Consider the following 21818-nt stretch of genomic DNA (forward strand, 5'->3'; position numbering starts at 1 on the left):
AAGCATGTAAACCAATTCTTACTTTAAAGAGAATATTGGTTATGAAGAGGAATCTTTTAGAAGGTTGAATAATTTGTCAGTGATTTGTTGGCTACTTACATACCTTGTAACAAATTCAAGAAATACATTGGGATTCTAACCTAAAGCCTAACGATTTACTCCCTAAATGAATCTAACCTAAATCCTAATCATTTACTCCCTAAATGAATCAGATATATTTTCATTAACTGGAATACTTACACAAATCATTGCTTTGCTTGGCAGGTGCACAATTTGAGTACCCCAGGAACCAAACTCTAAAACAGAGTTTAGCATATAGGATGTTTATTAAATAGTACTCTTGTAATCAATACCTGTGAAAGGAAGAAAGAAGTAGTCATCCGTAGAGAAACGTCAAGTTGTGATGTAGACTCATTGACAGCCATAGTTGTTACCATGAGAAGTTCTGGAGCTAGGATAACCCTCAGAATTGTTCTAAATTGGACTAATGATCTGATATTTATAATTTCTCATTTATTAATTTTGGATGCAGTCTACCCAGGGAAGAGGCATTTCCTTGGGCAAGGAGACTCTTTGCAGCTGAGATAGTCCCTTAAAGGGCTGACAGCTAAAGACCGACTATTGTCAGCACTCCCAGATTCTGGGGGAACAATTTCTTCATTGAAGGGATATTTGACCAACATGTGGTCAAATGTGGTGATCCCCCACAGTCCATCTCTTGCCTGCTTAGATCCTTTTCTTCATAAAATTTCTGGAAGCTTCCCAGAGACTGTTTTAGACATCTATTCATGGAGAAAATTTATAAGCAAGTTTGTGGGAAGCAATAGGTACTATCACCACAGCTGCCCTGGGTGTAGGGGGACAAGTGATGCTCATGATTTCTTTCACTATCCAGTCTATATTCCATTCACTCTCTACTACCATTTCTACTGGAGTCTAAGGGCTCTAAGTCCCTAGCCACCACACCTTTCTCAGGCTAAAGTTGTTGCTCTTGTCTATTTTCACAACTAGGCAAAGGAATACCAGAGGTACCCAAGTAGACCACCTGAGTGTCACATACATTCTTTCAATCTTCACTGTGTAGCAGCAACCCCACCTCTTCCTAAGCATCATGGTCTATTGCCCCTGCCAAGATGATCCCTGCTATTCTTGCCTGCTGATCTAAAGTTCCCAGTTGGCAGTCACAGCTTACAATTCAATGTGACCTTTGCTGTGTCCTCTGGCAGAAGTGTCCTGCCTTTGGGAACCAAGACCTTTAAATTTACAAAGCCTAGAATAGAAGGAATAGGAAAAATAAATTCCCAAGTGGGTTACTTGAAGTGATTTAAGTGAGCCTACTTGTTCTTTTTGTTCTTGGTTCCTAGACCCATGTATTCTTCCTACTGTGAAGGGGAGGCACAGTTATACATGTTACTGATTCAATGAGCATACCACAGCATGGATTGTGTTGCATCCTCATAAAGTATTGCCTCCAAGCGGGATTTCTAGTCTTCCAGTTAATGAGTGGTGTTGTATGTTAAATGATTAGTTCATCTCATGGTCAGAGGTTTGCCTTAGCACCTCCTTTGCTATAAACTAGGTTTCCTGGTTGGTCATTTTTTCATGTGGAATCCAGTACCTAGGATTCCCTAAGTCTTCAGACAGTCATACTGTTTGATGTCCTGCAAGCAAAAAAGACAATAAGAAAAGACAAAGATGGTCTTCTTGAAGCAGGCTGCTCTAATGGCAACTCAGCATTGGCCTTTATTGATGACAGTTGGATATTTGTGTTTGCAGTAGCAAAATCAGCTAACACAAATAGCAAGATCAATTAAGTTACTTAGATTCCAAGAGATTGGACCCATGTAAAGCTTCCATCCTTACTTCCTTGGCCATTTCATGTAATCATAATGCCAGCTGGAGTAGCTGATGACAGAGACTAATATCAACTGGGCGAGTTTTTGTCTTCTTCATTGTTCAGTGCTTCTTCCGTGGTGGGTGCTCTCTAGTGAGTATTAGTGTGCAACAAAAAAACTTCGTCATACTTCATGCTCTCTTCCAGGTACCCATTCTAAATGCATCTACTACAGAAGTTCTTATGCAGTATCTTCTCCTATCTTTCTTCAGGCTCCTAATCACTTAGCCAAGCCATTTGCTACTGTCCTTGAATTCACATATGCTCTGAACTTGAGTTAATTTTATTTTTTTACACAAAATATATGACTACATTCTGCCCCCTACCCCCACCACAAACCAAGAATCTGTACATTGCAAGGATTTTCTCTCACTATTCTTTCAATGCCCTCATTGAGTGGGGCTATAATGCAGCTGCTATCTAATTTCACATTTTACCCATATGCTTAACTGACCCTTTTATGAACGAATCATGTGCTTTGTCTTCCACTATTTACTGAGTGTAAGGATCCTCTTTTTGGTAATGGGTGTGAGCTGGGGGAGAGGTGCGGTGGATGACATGGGTGGTTTGGTAATTTGCTTATACAGCTTGCATGGACCCTCTGATCTGCTTGAGCTTAGTTCTAGATGTAACACTTAGAACTCTCAATAAATTGTTGCAAGAATCTTCTGATCTTAGAGCTTAGTGAGTTTGACAGAACCCAGCTCATGACAGACAGGTGTGGCTCAGTTATCACTTGGTGCTCCATGGTCAGCTACTTCATCTATGGCAGGCCCAGTAGTATGTCAACAGTTGTTGTTTAAAAGGCATGATTCTGATGGAATGCTCTTGCTCCAGACTACCAGCAATCTGTGTTGTGATTTTCTCATTGATACTTGCCATAGTCTCGAAATGGCATCTTTTCTCATCACTCATACCACTAATGTCATAAAGTCTCCCAGGTTTTTATGCCATGGTACTTGCAATGCACCATCCCATCATATCTCTAGATGGTTTATGTTATGTCATAACTCTAATTATAGATTTTCTTGCCAAAAAGGGTAGTAGGAGCATGTGTTGTCTTGAGTAATGTCTGAATCATCTTCAAGCAAGAGGGGAATACTACCTTTTCATAGAGATGTTTCATCCACTTCTGCAAACTTGCAAGATCAAGGAGAATCTGGAGACTCTAAATATGCATGGACGTCATCCCTGATGTCTCTAGCTTATTTGGTCCTTTGCCAAACAGGATCCTGACTTGTAAAAGATAGGGTAAGTAGATAGGATTGGACAGAGGGAGAAGTTGATCTGTGATACAATCCCAGTGAAAAACTAGGGCAATGCCATGGGATGCTCTAAAGCTAGACAGTTCTCTCGGAATTGTCTAAGTTACACTGAGATGACCCGATTTTCACTGATGATTGATGCCATTACTTGTGGGCCACCCTAGGAAGAAGTGTAAACTTAAATAATGTGGCTGTGGCAGTCTGCAGGTGAGGCAATTCTGGAAGAGGCAAATGCAGAAATCTGTTTACCAAGCACTCTTATGGGATGGGCAATAAGTTTTCATTGAAGGCGTTGCTGGCAGGACATCAGAGAGTCTACCAGAGTAATTATAAAGCATTCAGTCTAACTGTGAAGGTGGGGATATAAAAAGGAGTAAGCATTATATTCATTTGTTTATCTTTACTTTCATAAAAGGATTCATACTCTACTAGAAGGCAAAGATATTACAAAAACATTAAAACACTGGTTTAACAAGGGGCAATGCGATAGAGTGAGGAAAACGCAGTAAATTACTTGAGCATGAAATTTAGCTCTGACTCTTAACAAAATACAGAATTACAAAGGTTTACATGGTTTTTGTTAGCTAATAAAAGGAATCCTGGGTTTTTCTTTTTCCTAGTAAAGTAACTCTTTCCTGTCTTTGAACTCTGAGAAGACATTATTGTGAGATTCATTATAAAATGCACTGAACAATATTCTAGATTGTAACTTCAAAAGTTTTGTAACAATGGCAAAATTGTTCTACCTATGATTCTTATTTTGCCAAGCACCTGAAGTGTAGACATTGTGTTTATCAAAAGAAGATTCACATGCTTTAAAAACAAAAATAACATAATCATATTCACGGTTGACATATTGTAAGACCATTTAAAGAGTTTGTATTGTACTTGTTGAAGAAGTAATTTGCAGAATGTAAGTTAGGATATTATTCTTCACCAAGATTAATCAAAAACATTTCCTTCAGCAATTACTTTCTGAGTCTTAAATTTCAGCACCATAAGAGATACTCACATGTGTGTTTGTATGTGTGAAAAAGGTACACCTCAGCATAGGGTTGTTAATTAATTTCTTTAAAGTTAACTTGATTCAATTTATTGTTGACTAAGTGCAATTCTAGGCTAAAAATGTGTGATTAGATAGGAAAGATGTCCTGTCTAAAAGATGTCCAAACAGACTATTTGTTTTCAAGAAGTTATAGTCTTGTAAGGAAAGTAAGAAAGACAAATATAAATGCTAATAGTTTCACAATAAAAAAGTACTTATGATGGTCAAATTAAAAAGAAAAGATAGTAACTGGGGATATTATTAAATATTTTAGGAAGAGGGAAACATCCAAAATAGGTCTTAAAATGTGCCTAGTATATAGCAAGCCTTCAATAAATATTACCATTATTACTGGTGAGTTTTTCCTTAATTGATACCTATCTGAATACTAATGGAAAAGTTTATAACATTGGCTGAACACTGCGCTTTTGAAAACTTAATCACATTTTTTCCTTAAGGCAACATCAAATTGATGAATTTTGTCTTCATTTTTTAGAAGGAAGGAAGGAGGGAAAGAAGGGAGGGAGGGAGGGAGGAAAGAAAACAAATAAACGTCTCTGAAAGAGATGAAAGTAATTTTCCCGCGCCACACAAGTTAGTAGACTTAAGACCAGGGATCTAAATATAAGGTTGTCTGTCTACAGAGTCCAATCTCTTTTACCACAGTCTTCTATTACTTCTAGAAATTGTTATCAATTATGAACAATTATTCCAAATTATTTACTGTGAAAAGAGTAATTGTTTCGGAATACACAATATTGTTCTTGCAGAAGAGAATTGTAGGAAGAAGCCTCTCTCCCTTTGCTGCCTTTCAGTCAGCCTACTTTACTGAAGGCTTCAAAATGTTATTTTTTTTCACGTATTTAGAGACTGAAAAGAGTTATATTATGATTTCAATGATTTACTCAGACCACAAATAACCATATTATGAAAAGGGCCTAAAAGAAAAAGTTATATATCCATCTATAACCACTGATTCAGGGCAGTTCTCTCACTTGCAATTGAATAATGATTGCTTCATCTCTACATGCTTTACATTATTTAGGATTTTAAATTACTAATATGTGAATTCCTTTTTATTTACTAAGATGGAATGAATGCCAAAATTTCTCTTCTGGAAACTTGTGTATCACTCAAGATAAGATATTGATTTTTGAACTTTGTAGTACTTAAATTTTTAGAGCTGTGGAATTTTAAAGGGCTTTTGCAAAATGAAAACAATGCAACCCTGAGAAGTAGGTCATAAAACAACAATAAACAATACCCCTACAAGATGCTGCAGTTGTGGGATGAACTGGTAATAAGGAAACAATGGAGAAGGGACCAAGAAGGTAGAAAGAGAGACGAGGGTAGTGGTCAGTACATTAAAATGAAAATTAAACACCTGACTGAAAATTTGTATCTTGTGACATTTGTGCTTGCACATGCTCAACTTAAACTTATTTCTGAAGATTTATACATTTATATGAAGTTGATTGATGATATTTTATGCCCATGGGAGTTTGGAATCAAGCAATTCAATAACTGCATAATGCTCAGTATAACAAATATAATCCTGGCTATGAAAGTCTTTTTTCTATGTTTTCTAAAATGAAAGTCTTTCAACGGCTTCTAAAATGAAAGTCTTTCTATGGCTTCTAAAATGAAAGCACATTGCAAAGGAAATTCCATTCTAGCAAGTGAGATTCTGTTCTGATCTACTGATCCATAAATTATCACAGTGACAATTATGGACTCAAATAATGGTCTCAAAAGTCTTTCCTAGAACCTTAATAGGTTTATTTAATCCCTCTAGAAAAAATGGAGATTTGGGAATTAAAAGCCAATAGATTAGCTGGAAATTCATAACTATTAAACGCCCAATGTATTCCATGTTTGTGTTCTTTTTTCTTTTACCCAAATTCAATGTTTGCTAATAAAATAGTATGAGATTTTTACTTCAGTACAGAACCACTTACGCAATCTGGCCCTGTACATTAGCTACTTCCTTCTCAACTCTGTATTTACTTTGCTTCTTATTATATTATATTATATTACTTACTTTGCATTAAAAAGCAGACATGGCCATCAACCACTAATTCCTTTTCTTAGTATTGAGTTTACTAAGTGAAACCAATATGAAGTGAAGAAATGGCTTGACATGTAATTACTACAAATTACTATCAACTACTAAACATTACTACGAATTACCTGACAAATGGACTAATGCTGTATTTGATAATAAGAATTTCAATGAGTAATTTTACTTTAATTTATTAATTAGACTGCCTTTTGGGTATAATTGTCTCCTCTTCAGGCAGTCTCAGCAGAAAGTTACATGGCCAAATGAATTCGGAGATTCAAATCCTGCCTCCTATTTGGAGGAATGTAAGTGAGAAAACGGAGACCATCCTATGGAGGTAGTAGATTTTTGGTTATTTTCTCCAAGAAAGTTGTTGTAATATTTCTTTTCTTAATCTTCCATGTCTTTAACAAATCTATTATTTAATAAAGGCAATGGAGCATGGTAGAAAGAATTGGAAGTTTAAGAACCATGGTCCCAGTCATAATTCTTTCACTATAAAATATTGCACCTACGAAAGTATAAGGCACTTTTCTCCTCTGTACTCATTTCTCCATTTGCAGAGAGAAGAGTGTATTATTAACTCTTTTTTATTACGACTAAAATTAACCCTACCCAAAATAATTCAAGCATAAAAAATGATTTATTTGCTCAGAAAACCAAGGTACAAGAATGGCCAAAACAAGCCAAATTCACCAGAATGCTCTCTCTCTATCTTTTTCTTTCTCTTGCTTTGAGTGTGTGTGTGTGTGTGTGTGTGTGTGTGTGTGTGCACTATTTCTGGTTGCTTTTTCTTAGTCTATGTTAACTTCATTCTCAGCAAGGAATTTACCATATGGTAACCTTTAAAATGCACAGGTTTTCTTACAACCAAAAATTCCAGCCTAAAAGTTTTCCCCAAATCCCTGAGACTTAGGTTCTGTAGCCAGAGAGATGGAGTGTACTAATGAGTTAACACAGCATCACCTAACAAGACTAATTAAATAGTGGGCTGAGAGTAGGAAACTTGAAAGTCCCTTGGGAAAACAGAAGTCCTGCTATGAGATAAATGTGGAGTGAATGCTGGACACACAAAATAACAGATGTATATTGTAACAGGGCTGGAAGAGATTTCCATTCTTCCATTCACTCATTTGTTCTCTTAAAGAACTGTAATACAATATTGGTCAAGACTGACATGGTCTTTGTCTTCATGCAACATACAATAAATGGAAGAGAGATATATTAAAATGAAAATCTATAAAGCTATGTAATTATATGTAACATCTCTTATTCTATGATGCTTAGCTTGGCACTCTTTTCAGCATCTAGTAAACTCATTTCTCACTTGCCTATAACATTATTTCTAATTTCTCACAGATCATTGGCCTTATGCTAATTTGTACTACTGTTTTCAGACTTTGGAGGGAGTCAGTTGCCTGTAGCCATCTTTCATCATACAAGATTAAGGAATACTTACAGAGAGTGAGTTCCATACCCAAAGCATTTAGTGTGGCACAATTTGGCACAAAGTGGGAGCCAAAAACAAATTGTTACTGTCTTGGTAACTACACAACTAAATTCTTTCTTTCTCAGAAATTGATATTGTCTATATTAGCTATTTCATGAAATTACTGACAGAGTTGGTTGATATTTTTCGGAATGGGTGAATAACACATTTTGCTTCTTTTGTTTTTCTAAGAAAGACTTGGAGTCTTTTCTTAACATTAGAGATTCACCCAGTGTCTTTGATACATTGGTAGTTATTTTTGTCATTTTGTAATGTTTGTACTTTTGAGACTTTTCACGAAGGCAAATCTGTGTGTTTGGTGGGCAATTTGCTGCTAACCTTTCCTAACTAATATGACTGGATTATTGTCCTTTTTTAATCAGTATAAATCGCCATGAAGAATATGTGAATTTCTAAAGGTAGACCGGAAAATATTTTTATAAAATAGCATCATCCTCTTGGTCAAAGTAGGATTATAGGGACAAACAATCATCTTGAAAAGTTACACAGTAGAATTTGGGTACCAATGTTTCCAATTTTTGGTGAGACAGTGGGAGTTTAGAGAGGGATGAAACATCATGACAACTTGGCTGATACAGAACAATCTTCTAGTTGATACTTGGCATATAAGAATTGGCACACCTATTTGGAACTGAGAGTTAATAGAAAAGTTTTTAAAATGCTTAAACTTTATGGAAATTCTTCAAAAAGGTATCTTTAAGCTAAGACCATCAGGGGTTCTTCCTGCATTAAGAGGATTCATAGTTGGCACACAGACAACTTTTTGAGAATGTGCAATAAAGACATCACATCTTTTGGTCAAACACATTTCAAAAGGCATTTCTCCTTGGTTAGATGCAACTCCTGCAAGTACATCAGTCCTACTTACTGCCTTGAACTGAGGCAATAAAATTTTGGCTTGTAGATTTTAGGTCTTGGTTTCAAAATTTAATTTTAGCAGAGAGATCTTGAGCTAGCTACTTCATTTCACAAACCTCACTTTTTCTAATCTGTAAAATGAGATAACTATACTTATTTTATAAATCGTGTACATTAAAGAGTAATGTAGGTAAATTGTCTGTCACATGGTCTGCCAACATCCAGACCAAGCACTCAATGAATGAATACTAGCTCTGATTTTATTATTTTGTTTGTAATAATAATAATAATGGTAATAGTATAGTATTATTGCTTTATTTTAATCTCTCGGGTCATATATCAAATGATTGCTCATAATTTTTTTAACCTTACTTTTACCCAGTTGTCAGTTCCATGACTGGGTATTTTAATAATTCTTATTGAGAAGATTGGAGGAATGAAGTAAGACTAAAGCTATAATTGGTTAAAAAAAGAAAAAAAAAAAGAAAAATCCAGCAGGCATTCATATTAGCTAGAACAAAGAATATTTTGTCACTTCTGTGTAATATTTATAGAATGGTTTTAGCTTAATCCACCATGATCACAGAGTGGACTTGTCTAAAGTCGTTTTACATAAACAATTCTGTAAATTGTTTATGTACAACAGAAGAACAGCATAGCCTTTCTGTGAGTGTGCGGGCTCCTCCTGGCTGAGAGGTTGCTTTTCTCTTTCTCACTGTGCAGTATACCACATTGCTGCAAGCTATTGTACAACAAAATCATGTCCAAGGGGGTGACCAGGGTAGTGAAGGATTTAAAAACAATATTTTATGAATAATGCTTTAAAGAATTTGAATTAGGATTGAGGATTTTAGCCACAGAGAAGTGGATCATTGAGATTGACTAACTGACAACTATTTCCAAATATGTGAAGGTTGGTCACATATATGAGGTATGTCTACGGTTGCTACTAAGTTGAATGGAAGTTTTTCAAAAATAGGAAAGCTATCATTTATTGTTAAACTGTAAGACATATAAAGCAGAAAAATGAGTAGTTCTTTTTCATGATGGGATATGCTGTCACTGGATGTATTCATAAAGAGTCTGGATAAACTGCTGGAGCTATTATGGTGGGACAGCAATTCATTAAATTGCATTGGATTACACTATATATCTTAAATTCTCTGGCTATAGAAACAGGTAAGATGAAATACAAAGATAGACTCCTGGATGACTAAGGCTCAAACTCAGACTTTTGTTTTATTTCATTAAAACAGAAAATATTCCACTTCTCTCAATGTCCAATCTGTTCCATTCTCCATCTGACTTTCTCTGAGTAGACACAGATGAGCTATAATCAGGGATTTGTAATTCTTCTGTAATGACAAATACATTAACATTCTCCCTGCCAATGACAATACTGCAAATTAATGCTTGTCCAAATTTCATTCATTTACTGAAGGGCAAGTTGGAAATGGTCCAAGGTTTTAAAACTGCCATAACCATTTGGGTAAGCTGTCAATAAGCTTTCCAGGAACTCTGAGCTTGACTTAATTGAGAAGAGTAGTTTTTTGCCTGCTCTGCTCTTTGGATGTCTGGGAATGGGTGACCTTTTGAATCACTTCTTTTTTGTTTGTTTTTTTTTTCTCACTTTCAAGACTTTTTTTTTTCTATTTTTATTATTATACTTTAAGTTTTAGGGTACATGTGCACATTGTGCAGGTTAGTTAGATATGTATACATGTGCAATGCTGGTGCACTGCACCCACTAACTCGTCATCTAGCATTAGGTATATCTCCCAATGCTATCCCTCCCCCCACCCCCCACCCCACAACAGAGCCCAGAGTGTATTATTCCCCTTCCTGTGTCCATGTGTTCTCATTGTTCAATTCCCACCTATGAGTGAGAATATGCGGTGTTTGGTTTTTTGTTCTTGCGATAGTTTACTGAGAATGATGATTTCCAATTTCATCCATGTCCCTACAAAGGACATGAACTCATCATTTTTTATGGCTGCATAGTATTCCATGGTGTATATGTGCCACATTTTCTTAATCCAGTCTATCATTGTTGGACATTTGGGTTGGTTCCAAGTCTTTGCTATTGTGAATAATGCCACAATAAACATACACGTGCATGTGTCTTTATAGCAGCATGATTTATAGTCCTTTGGGTATATACCCAGTAATGGGATGGCTGGGTCAAATGGTATTTCCAGTTCTAGATCCCTGAGGAATCGCCACACTGACTTCCACAATGGTTGAACTAGTTTACAGTCCCACCAACAGTGTAAAAGTGTTCCTATTTCTCCACATCCTCTCCAGCACCTGTTGTTTCCTGACTTTTTAATGATTGCCATTCTAACTGGTGTGAGATGGTATCTCACTGTGGTTTTGATTTGCATTTCTCTGATGGCCAGTGATGATGAGCATTTTTTCATGTGTTTTTTGGCTGCATAAATGTCTTCTTTTGAGAAGTGTCTGTTCATGTCCTTCACCCACTTTTTGATGGGGTTGTTTTTCCCTTCTTGTAAATTTGTTTGAGTTCATTGTAGATTCTGGATATTAGCCCTTTGTCAGATGAGTAGGTTGTGAAAATTTTCTCCTATTTTGTGGGTTGCCTGTTCACTCTGATGGTAGTTTCTTTTGCTGTACAGAAGCTCTTTAGTTTAATTAGATCCCATTTGTCAATTTTGTCTTTTGTTGCCATTGCTTTTGGTGTTTTAGATGCGAAGTCCTTGCCCATGCCTATGACCTGAATGGTAATGCCTAGGTTTTCTTCTAGGGTTTTTATGGTTTTAGGTCTAACGTTTAAGTCTTTAATCCATCTTGAATTGATTTTTGTATAAGGTATAAGGAAGGGATCCAGTTTCAGCTTTCTACATATGGCTAGCCAGTTTTCCCAGCACCATTTATTAAATAGGGAATCCTTTCCCCATTGCTTGTTTTTCTCAGGTTTGTCAAAGATCAGATAGCTGTAGATATGTGGCATTATTTCTGAGGGCTCTGTTCTGTTCCATTGATCTATATCTCTGTTTTGATACCAGTACCATGCTGTTTTGGTTACTGTAGCCTTGTAGTATAGTTTGAAGTCAGGTAGTGTGATGCCTCCAGCTTTGTTCTTTTGGCTTAGGATTGACTTGGCGATGCGGGCTCTTTTTTGGTTCCATATGAACTTTAAAGTAGTTTTTTCCAATTCTGTGAAGAAAGGCATTGGTAGCTTGATGGGGATGGCATTGAATCTGTAAATTACCTTGGGCAGTATGGACATTTTCACGATATTGATTCTTCCTACCCATGAGCATGGAATGTTCTTCCATGTGTTTGTATCCTCTTTTATTTCATTGAGCAGTGGTTTGTAGTTCTCCTTGAAGAGGTCCTTCACATGCCTTGTAAGTTGGATTCCTAGGTATTTTATTCTCTTTGAAGCAATTGTGAATGGGAGTTCACTCATGATTTGGCTCTCTGTTTGTCTGTTGTTGGTGTATAAGAATGCTTGTGATTTTTGTACATTGATTTTGTATCCTGAGACTTTGCTGAAGTTGCTTATCAGCTTAAGGAGATTTTGGGCTGAGACAATGGGGTTTTCTAGATATACAATCATGTCGTCTGCAAACAGGGACAATTCGACTTCCTCTTTTCCTAACTGAATACCATTTATTTCCTTCTCCTGCCTAATTGCCCTGGCCAGAACCTCCAACACTATGTTGAATAGGAGTGGTGAGAGAAGGCATCCCTGTATTGTGCCAGTTTTCAAAGGGAATGCTTCCAGTTTTTGCCCATTCAGTATGATATTGGCTGTGGGTTTGTCATAGATAGCTCTTATTATTTTGAGATACGTCCCATCAATACCTAATTTATTGAGAGTTTTTAGCATGAAGGGTTGTTGAATTTTGTCAAAGGCCTTTTCTGTATCTATTGAGATAATCAGGTGGTTTTTGTCTTTGGTTCTGTTTATATGCTGGATTACATTTATTGATTTGCGTATATTGAACCAGCCTTGCATCCCAGGGATGAAGCCCACTTGATCATGGTGGATAAGCTTTTTGATGTGCTGCTAGATTTGGTTTGCCAGTATTTTATTGAGGATTTTTGCATCAATGTTCATCAAGGATATTGGTCTAAAATTCTCTTTTTTTGTTGTGTCTCTGCCTGGCTTTGGTATCAGAATGATGCTGGCCTCATAAAATGAGTTAGGGAGGATTCCCTCTTTTTCTATTGATTGGAATAGTTTCAGAAGGAATGGTACCAGTTCCTCCTTGTATCTCTGGTAGAATTCGGCTGTGAGTCCATCTGGTCCTGGACTCTTTTTGGTTGGTAAGCTATTGATTATTGCCACAATTTCAGATCCTGTTATTGGTTTATTCAGAGATTCAGCTTCCTGGTTTAGTCTTGGGACAGTGTATGTGTCGAGGAATTTATCCATTTCTTCTAGATTTTCTAGTTTATTTGCGTAGAGGTGTTTGTAGTATTCTCTGATGGTAGTTTGTATTTCTGTGGGATCGGTGATGATTTCCCCTTTATCATTTTTTATTGCATCTATTTGATTCTTCTCTCTTTTTTTCTTTATTAGTCTTGCTAGTGGTCTATCAATTTTGTTGATCCTTTCAAAAAACGAGCTCCTGGATTCATTAATTTTTTCAAGGGTTTTCCGTGTCTCTATTTCCTTCAGTTCTGCTCTGATTTTAGTTATTTCTTGCCTTCTGCTAGCTTTTGAATGTGTTTGCTCTTGCTTTTCTAGTTCTTTTAATTGTGATGTTTGAATCACTTATTGATCAGTCATTTATAAGATTTTTCAGGATGGCAGCAAATGGAAATGGAGACCTTAAGGGAAAAATTTGAAAGTCATCTTTTAAATTCTAAATAACTTTGGGATTTAAATATCTCTCTTTATTACAATGTAAGTTTTAAAATGAACATTAGTTCAAATATTTGGAGGATGCTGATGAGATCCTGTTGTCAGAATGCCTATCCCTGGCGTTGAATAGGCAGTTGACAATGGGGAACTGGGAGGAACTCCACTGGGCTGGTTAATGAAGGACTTAATGAATCTGACCCTTTTTATATTGTGCTATTTGATTTGGCCACCAGAGCAATTGCCATTTTCACTTGACTGCTTTCATTCCTATCTTATCCATATTTGTGTTTCTTATATTTCTGATCACAGAGTCACTGAGATAAAAAATGGATTTTAGAGAAGACATTGAAATTTACTATTAAATGACAGTCCATAAAGATTCTTTGGGGTATTTTTATCATCATTCACACTTCTGAGAGGGTCTTGAGAGTGACCAGTCCTATACGCTGGTGACACTCATAAAGCCCTCCCTCTAAAAGGAGTTCCCCTACAATTGATGCCACTCTCCTCATTGTACCTTGCACAGTGATCGTCAAATAGTAATAGTATAACACATATAATAAGTGCTAGTTAAATACATTTTGGGATTATCTGCATAAACAATATTTTCACCTTTTGTTTTTATTTACATTGCTATTTGTGAGATTGTAAGACTATCTAAATAGCTATATGTAATTTTCCTTAGACTTCCCTAATTTTCACTTTTCCTAACTAAAATGTAACAATATTGCATGAATAAAATTACTATGACTACTTTTCTATTAATAAAGTCTAAATGTTCCCATGCTATCTTGAGAAGTAAAATGTGTGCTGCTCTGTAAAGCAGCAAACTGGGCGTCATTGCTGGGAAACATCAAGACACCTAAAATCAAACTGCTTAATTCTCACCAGTCATAAAATTCAATGACGATAAATGTTAAATTCCCCAAATCAAGGTCACCATGATTATCCAAACAGGTCGCTGTGGAATAATAATTAATCCTGAGGACTTGGTGCTAGACCACTAAGATTCCTATGGAGTGTGACTTCAGACTTCTCCTTGTGCTTCCATTTCTGTAGGTATAAATATAGACAATTTTACCAACTTCACAGAGTGTCTGTGGAGATTAAATGACATAACAGTGTAAGGTATTTAGAACAATGCCTGGCACATTGTAGGTCTTCAGTATATGTTAGATAGTGATAATATATATGAAAAGTTTTAAAATTTCAAAAAAATCCAAACTTTTAGTCCTATAACTATAACGAATCCTCTTTAGAACAGTGGTAAGGATGTGGTACATGTACAATAACAACAGCAGGACAGAGCTAGTAATTCAATTGTCTCTGGAGAATCCTAGAAACATCATGCATATTGCTCGTAACTAACATATCTGTCACAGACATTGTGACTACCATAATTGGATTCCTCATGTCCATTTTTCTGCAGGACAAAAAGAAAGTATAGACTCACCCTATTCAGAAAACACCACTCAGCACGGAAAATGTGAAGAGAAAAACAGAGAGACCCATTGTCAGTAGAAGTCAGTGCATTGTGACTTTGACATGAGAAAGCATAAACAGTAACCAAAACAGCAATAAGTAGAGAAAAGTTATTCTGGGCTCTAAGAAGAACTGAAGTCTGACCAACAGAGGGACATATCAATTACAAGTCAAATGAATCTGCTTTAGGACAAAACTTAAAGGAGTAAAATTCAAGCTTTTAAGGAAATTAGACTTTTAACAACTGAAGCTGTTTTTCCCCTTCAGACTGAAAATAGGAAGCAAGATTTAGAAGCACATTTTACTTGTATATCCTCTCACGAAGTCGATTAAATCGAACCTTGATAGGGGAAAGAAGCAAAAAGTTCAATACTAGCATCAAACAACTGTAGAGAACAGCAGAGAAGCAAATAGAAAAAGAAAAAGAAGATATATGGTATTTTAGAAGGAAGAAGAGGGAAGTTGAAGAAAGAGGTAGAAGAGAAGGGAAGAATGTAAGAATAAAATAAATGAAACAGGAGATTTGGGGGAAAATCATTCTCTTTTAGTAGCAGGGAGAATGAGACTAATGATGCAGGGGAAAATGACAGAACATGAAAAAAAAAAACTTAAACCTAAATGTTCCACCTGTGCAATTGTACCCAATTGATCTGTCAGTTTTTAAAAGCTAAGTAAAATGTGTTGTGAGGGATACACTGGGGGGTATGCATCTGAGTCAGTGGCGATTCACAACCACAGTGGGATATCAGTGAATTGAGCTGGTTGGAGGTCCTATCTCTTAGATTAGACATAAAGAATCATGGTTATTAAAAGTCCCATAGTATTTTGGCTAACATAAAGAAGTTAATTTTGTACATTGGGCAGATTCCAGCAAAGAAATTATGTCTATGTCCACATAGGGAGTATGTGTGTGTGCACATACGGGGGTGTGTGTGTGTGTTTTAAATAAACTTTGTGTTGCAGCCATGGAAAACTATCCTCCTCTCCCTATTTTCTTAACTGGTAAGGGAATTTTTCTTCTCTTTGATGTTTTAGTATTGATAAAAGCAGAAAATCACAATACCTAAAGTTGCACTTCCAAATAATATTCAGAAACTCTTTAGAGTTTAATCTTTTTGAAAAGCTACTAAAACTTGAATTACTGTTTCCCTCTTCAGGGTATTTTAAGAAATCAAACAAGTATTTTTTTATTATGTAAAAATAATTCTAATAAAATTTGATTCTAGAATGTTTATTTAAAATGATGCTAGAGGATGTAAATCATTTGTTCATATTCTAAAATAAGTGATCTTTAGTAGATAAATATAAATTTTCTTAATTTGGTTTCTAAATGTTTGTCAAAACCAGGCACACATTCATTTATTCACAATTCAAAATATAGTGCAGTATGTCAGGCCTTCAAACTTAGGAGATAGGATCATTTAGGCACAAATTCTGCCCTTTAGACATTCAGACTATCAAGATATTTATAGGAGGGCCGGGTGCGGTGGCTCATGCCTGTAATCCCAGCACTTTGGGAGGCCGAGGTGGGCAGATCACGAGGTCAGGAGATCAAGACCATCCTCGCTAACACAGTGAAACCCTGTCTCTACTAAAAATACAAAAAATTAGCCGGGCGTGGTGGCGGGTGCCTGTAATCCCAGCTACTTGGGAGGCTGAGGCAGGAGAATGGTGTGAACCCAGGAGGCAGAGCTTGCAGTGAACCAAGATCGTGCCACTGCACTCCAGCCTGGGTGACAGAGTGAGACTCCATCTCAAAAAAAAAAACAAACAAACAAAAAAAAAAAACAAAAAAAAAAAAAACAAGATATTGGTAGGAATAATTGCTGAACATCTGTTTTTGGTAAGATGGTATATGAAATAAACAGATAAATTTCTATAAAAGTACCTAAAAATGTTTTACATAGTGTAATGTTTTCAAATATGTATCAGAATTCAAGTGAATCCCTCAAAGAACACAAGTGACAAGAGACAATATATAGTGCTAAGAGAATGCTGGAGTCAAGCTTACCTCTAGAGATATCTACCATCTGTAAGGGACTTAGAGGCTGGATTTTAACAGCCCTTGGGCTGATCACAGGGAAAAAAAGGGGAGGTCTGGAGCTTGAGCAGATCCGAGAGAGAACTAACAATGGAAAATTAACAATAGTTAAAGTAACACTTACCAATACTTTGAGAGCAGCTAATGTGATTTTTGAGGAAAATTTATAGCCCTAAGAGGTTTATTGGTATTTTTAAAAAGGCTAAAAGCTAATGTGCTAGTAATTGACTTAAGAAACAACAACAACAAAACACCTAAGGAAAAGGAAAAGCAAAGAAACTATAAGAAATGAAACAGTAAAGAACAGAAATTACTGGGAACAATATAATAGGGTGTCATCAAAGGCAGAAGTTGGTTCCTTGCTAAAACTAATAAAGATGATGAACCTTAGGCAAGACTGAGCAAGAAAAAAAGAGAAAGCAAGAGAAAATAAATGATATTAAGGAGTAAAAAGGAGACAAAACTCAATATGAAAAAAAGTTAAAATGAGATTAATAGAGCCGACTTTATGTCCATAAATTTTCCCATTTCACCTGAAAAACTGTAAAACACCCAAATGAACTCAATTATTATATCTGTGCTATATATCCATTGTCAGATAAATACCTTATTACATATTAGATTTATTTAACCTTTATTTCATCTAGTTCTATAATAAATATATACATAATACCACTAGATCTTATGTTGGTGCCTTTTTACTTTTCTGTTGTCTGAACTTCATTCTAGATGGATTACTCAAGAAGGGCTTATAGAAATCATATTTCTTGAGTTTTTGACTGTTAAAAATACTTTGTGCCCTTTCACTTGAATGTCACTATTTCTAGTTATAAAATGTTGGGCTCCCATTTTCTTTCCTTGAGTATCTTAAACATCTCAATTTTCTTCTAATATGAAATATTGCTATTAAAAATCCAGTAACAATCTATTTTTTCTTATAATTTGTTCTTTTTATTTATATGCCTAAATGAGTTTTATGTAAAGTCAACTACGTTTAATAGGCTATGACTCAATGTTGGTTGTTGTAGTCAGTATTTTCAGGTATGCAGCTATGCATTTTATTATGTAATTTCTATTTTACACTAGCATAAAATTCACAGCTTTAACCATTTTTAAGTTGTACAATTCAGTGGTTTTTAGTACTTCACAAGGTTACAAAACCACAACTACTTTCTAATCCAAGAATATTTTTATCATCCCAAAATAAACCTGACAGCCATTAAGCTACCACTTCTCATTCCACTCTCCTCTTAGCCCCCGCCCACCACTAATCTGCTTTCCACCTCTATGAATTTGATTAATCTGTACAAATGAAATCATACAATATGTGGACTTTTATGTCTGTCTTTGTTTTCTTTAGCATAATGTTTCAAGGTTCATGCAGATTGTGGCATGTATCAGTACTTCATTCCTTTATGTGGCTAAGTAATTTTCCATTATATGCATATACAATATTTTATATAACCATTCATTATTAGATGAACATTTGGGTCATTTCCACATTTTTGTTGTTATAAATAATGCTGCTGTAAATGTTTAGGTACAAGCTTTTGTTTTCAATTCCCATTGATATACAGCAATAATTGGAATAGTGAGGATCATCAAATTCTTCCACAACAGCTGCACCATTTTGTGTTCCCACCAGAAATATAGTAGAGTTGCAATTTTTTCATATCCACGTATTTTTCTTGTTCTTTTTTCTTTAAATTATGGCATCCTCATGAATGTGAAGTTGTATCTCGTTATGGTTTTAATTTGCATTTCATCAATGAGTAATGATATTGAGCATCTTTTCATGCTCTTATTGGCGATTTATATGTCTTCTTGAGATAAATATCTACTCAATATTTTTGCCCATTTTAGAATTTGGCTTTCTTATTTGTTGTTGGATTATGTAAGTTATTTATATATTTTGGATTTTTGCAAATATTATCTCCCATTCTATGAATTGTCTTTTCACCTTCCTAACAGTTTTTTTAATGCACAAACATTTTAAATTTTGTTAAAGTCTAATTATCATATTTTTCTTCTTTAGTTGCTTGTCCTTTTGGGTCATCTCTAGGAAGCCATTGCCAAATACAAGGTCATAAATATTTACCTCACATTTTCTTCGAAGAGTTTTATAGTTTAAGCTCTTATATTGAATTGATTTTTACAAGCGGCATGAAAAAGATGTCCAAATTTATTCTTTTGTATGTGAATATCCAGATATCCCAGCACCATTTGTTGAAAGTGTTATTATTTCCCAGTTGAATCGTGTCTTAGTCCATTTTGTGATGGTATGATGAATACCATAGATTACGTAATTCATAAGAACAGAAATTTGTTATCTCACAATTCTGGAGGCTGGAAGTCTAAGATCAAAGAGCTACATGCGGCAAGAGCCTTCTTTATGCATCATCCCATGGTGAAAGGGCAAAGAGAAGGGGAGAGAGAGAATAAAAGGAGAGAGTGAAAATGTCAAAATCTTTTAATAATGGCTAAATAATAAACCCTATCAATAACAAACCCTCTCTTGCAATGGCAGCATTAATTCATTCACTCTGTCTTCATGGCCTAATCACCTCTCATTAGGCCCCACCTCCCAACACTATTACATTAGGGATTACATTTCCAACACATGCTAATTGGAGGACACATTCAAACCATAGAAAATTTTCTTGGGGCTGGGAGCGGTGGCTCATTCCTGTTCCTGGCACTTTAGGAGGGTAAGGCTGGAAAATCCCTTGAGCCCAGGAGTTCACGACTAGCCTGGGCAACATGGTGAACCCAGTATCTACAAAAAATTAGTGAAGTGTGACAGCATGTGCCTGTTGTCTCAGCTACTCAGGAGGCTGAGGTGGGAGGATCACCTGAGCCTGGGAGGTAGAGGCTGCAGTGAGCCTTGATTGTGCCACTGCACTCCAGCCTGGGTAACAGAGTAAGAACTCATCTCAAAAAAAAAGAAAATTTTCTTGGCATGTTTGTCAAAAATAAGTTGATCATAGATGCCAATTTTCTGTATTCTCCTTTCTATTCCATTGTTCTCTATATCTATTCTTATGATAATATCACACTGATTTGATTATTGTTGATTTATAGTAAGTTTTGGAATCCGGAAGTATGAGTCCCCAGCTCTGTTATTTTTTATCAAGAGAGTTTTGCTATTCTGTGTTCCTTGAAGAAATTCCATATGAATTTTAGCATATGCACGTTCGTTTCTACAAAAAGGCAGTAAATATGATATAGACTGCATTAAATCTGTACATCAATTTGGGGAGAATACTAATCTTAACAATATTGTGTATTCCAATTCATACCACATGATGTCTTTCAATTTATTTAGGTTTTTTAAAATCTACTTTCATAGTGTTTTACAGTACTCAGTGTACATATCTTGTAACTTGTTCATTAGATCTATTTGTAAGTATTTTAGGTTTTTAATAGTATTTAAATGGATTTTTCATTAATTTCCTTATTGGAATGCTAATTGCTAATGTATAGAAATACAATTGACTTTAGTATGCTGATCTTATATCCTGATACTTTGTTACATGTGCTAATTCACTCTAACCTATTTTTTTCTGTACATGCAGTCTTTAGGGTTTTCTGTGTAAAAATCACATCATCTTTAGATAGAAAGTTTTATTTCTTTTTTCTCAATTAAATATATTTTATTTTTTCTTTTATAATTTCATTTCTAGAGCTTCCAGTACAATGTAGGATAGAATTGGCAAGAGTCAACCTCCTTGACTTGTTTTTGATCTTTAGGAGAAATCTTAACCCTTACCCATTAAGCATAATGTTAACTGCTAGTTTTTCATAAATACCCCACAGGAAGACAAGTCCCTGAATAATTTTGACTGACCTAAGTAGGTTTTCTCCCTCTTTTATGCATAATGTACTGAGAATGCAAATTTCTGAAATAATGAAGAAATGTTTGAAACAACTTGGACTATGTCCTTGTTTCCTCCAGAACAGAATATTCTGCAATGCTTGAGCTCAACAATCGAAGTTGTGTCCAGGGTATAAAACACAGAGCTGAGTGGTTTCATGATCCTTCAGATATAGTATGACTGGGGACATGAACAGAAAAAGCTCCATGTCCCTGGGCAGCTTTCCTGAGACTTAGGGGACTTATTCACCAGGGTTCCTTGGCTTCTGTTTATACTTGGTGCCTCTCATTAATAGAGGTGCTTTGCCTGCCTTGTTGTGCAAGTGTTCTGTCTCTCAGACTCATGCAAGTAGTAAAGATACTGGGGCTTCTTTTGCTGCTCACAGGTGCTCTCATGAAACTGGGACTGCTGTGGCAACTGGGTCTGTTTTTTGGTCCATCCACACCTAAAAACCCTTGCAGAAATTAGTGTAAACCTTTCCATACCCTTTACTGATTTAAGGAAGTTTTCTTCTATGTTTAGTTGATTGTGTGCTTTTTTTTTTTTTTATCGTAAATGAGTTTTGGATTTTTTCAAATCCTTTTTCTACATTAATTGAAGTAATTGTGTGGATTTTTATGGTATATTACATACATTGACTTTTCTATGTTGAACCACCTTTGCGTTCTTGAAATACATTCCACTGGGTTATGATGTATAATCCTTTTAACATGATGCCAAATATAACTTGCTAGCATTTTGTTGGAGGTTATTATATCTATATTCATAAGGTATATTGGTCTTCAATTTCCTTTTCTAATGATGTCATTGTCTGACTTAGAAGTGAAGATAACACTGGCTTCATGAATGACTTGAAAATTTTTCCCTCCACATATAGTTTGGCTGTGTCTCCACCCAAATCTCATCTTGAATTGTAACTCCCACAATTCCCATGTGTCATGGGAGGAAC

The 21818-nt window shown here is 35.6% G+C and overlaps 2 long non-coding RNA genes across 2 annotated transcripts in view; one reads left to right on the forward strand and one right to left on the reverse strand.

Moving 5' to 3' along the window:
• The window catches only part of LOC107987054 (LINE-1 retrotransposable element ORF2 protein-like), a 40372-nt gene extending 23919 nt beyond the window's left edge, over nt 1-16453 (reverse strand). The window contains exon 1 of the long non-coding RNA XR_001746635.2: nt 241-16453. This is a non-coding gene — a long non-coding RNA (LINE-1 retrotransposable element ORF2 protein-like). The remainder of the gene's footprint in view (nt 1-240) is intronic.
• The window catches only part of LINC01239 (long intergenic non-protein coding RNA 1239), a 178014-nt gene that overhangs the window by 44105 nt on the left and 112091 nt on the right, over nt 1-21818 (forward strand). The window lies entirely within an intron of this gene.

This window comes from Homo sapiens, chromosome 9 (assembly GCF_000001405.40).
Source record: "Homo sapiens chromosome 9, GRCh38.p14 Primary Assembly".
In the NCBI taxonomy this organism is placed as follows: Eukaryota; Metazoa; Chordata; class Mammalia; order Primates; family Hominidae; genus Homo; species Homo sapiens.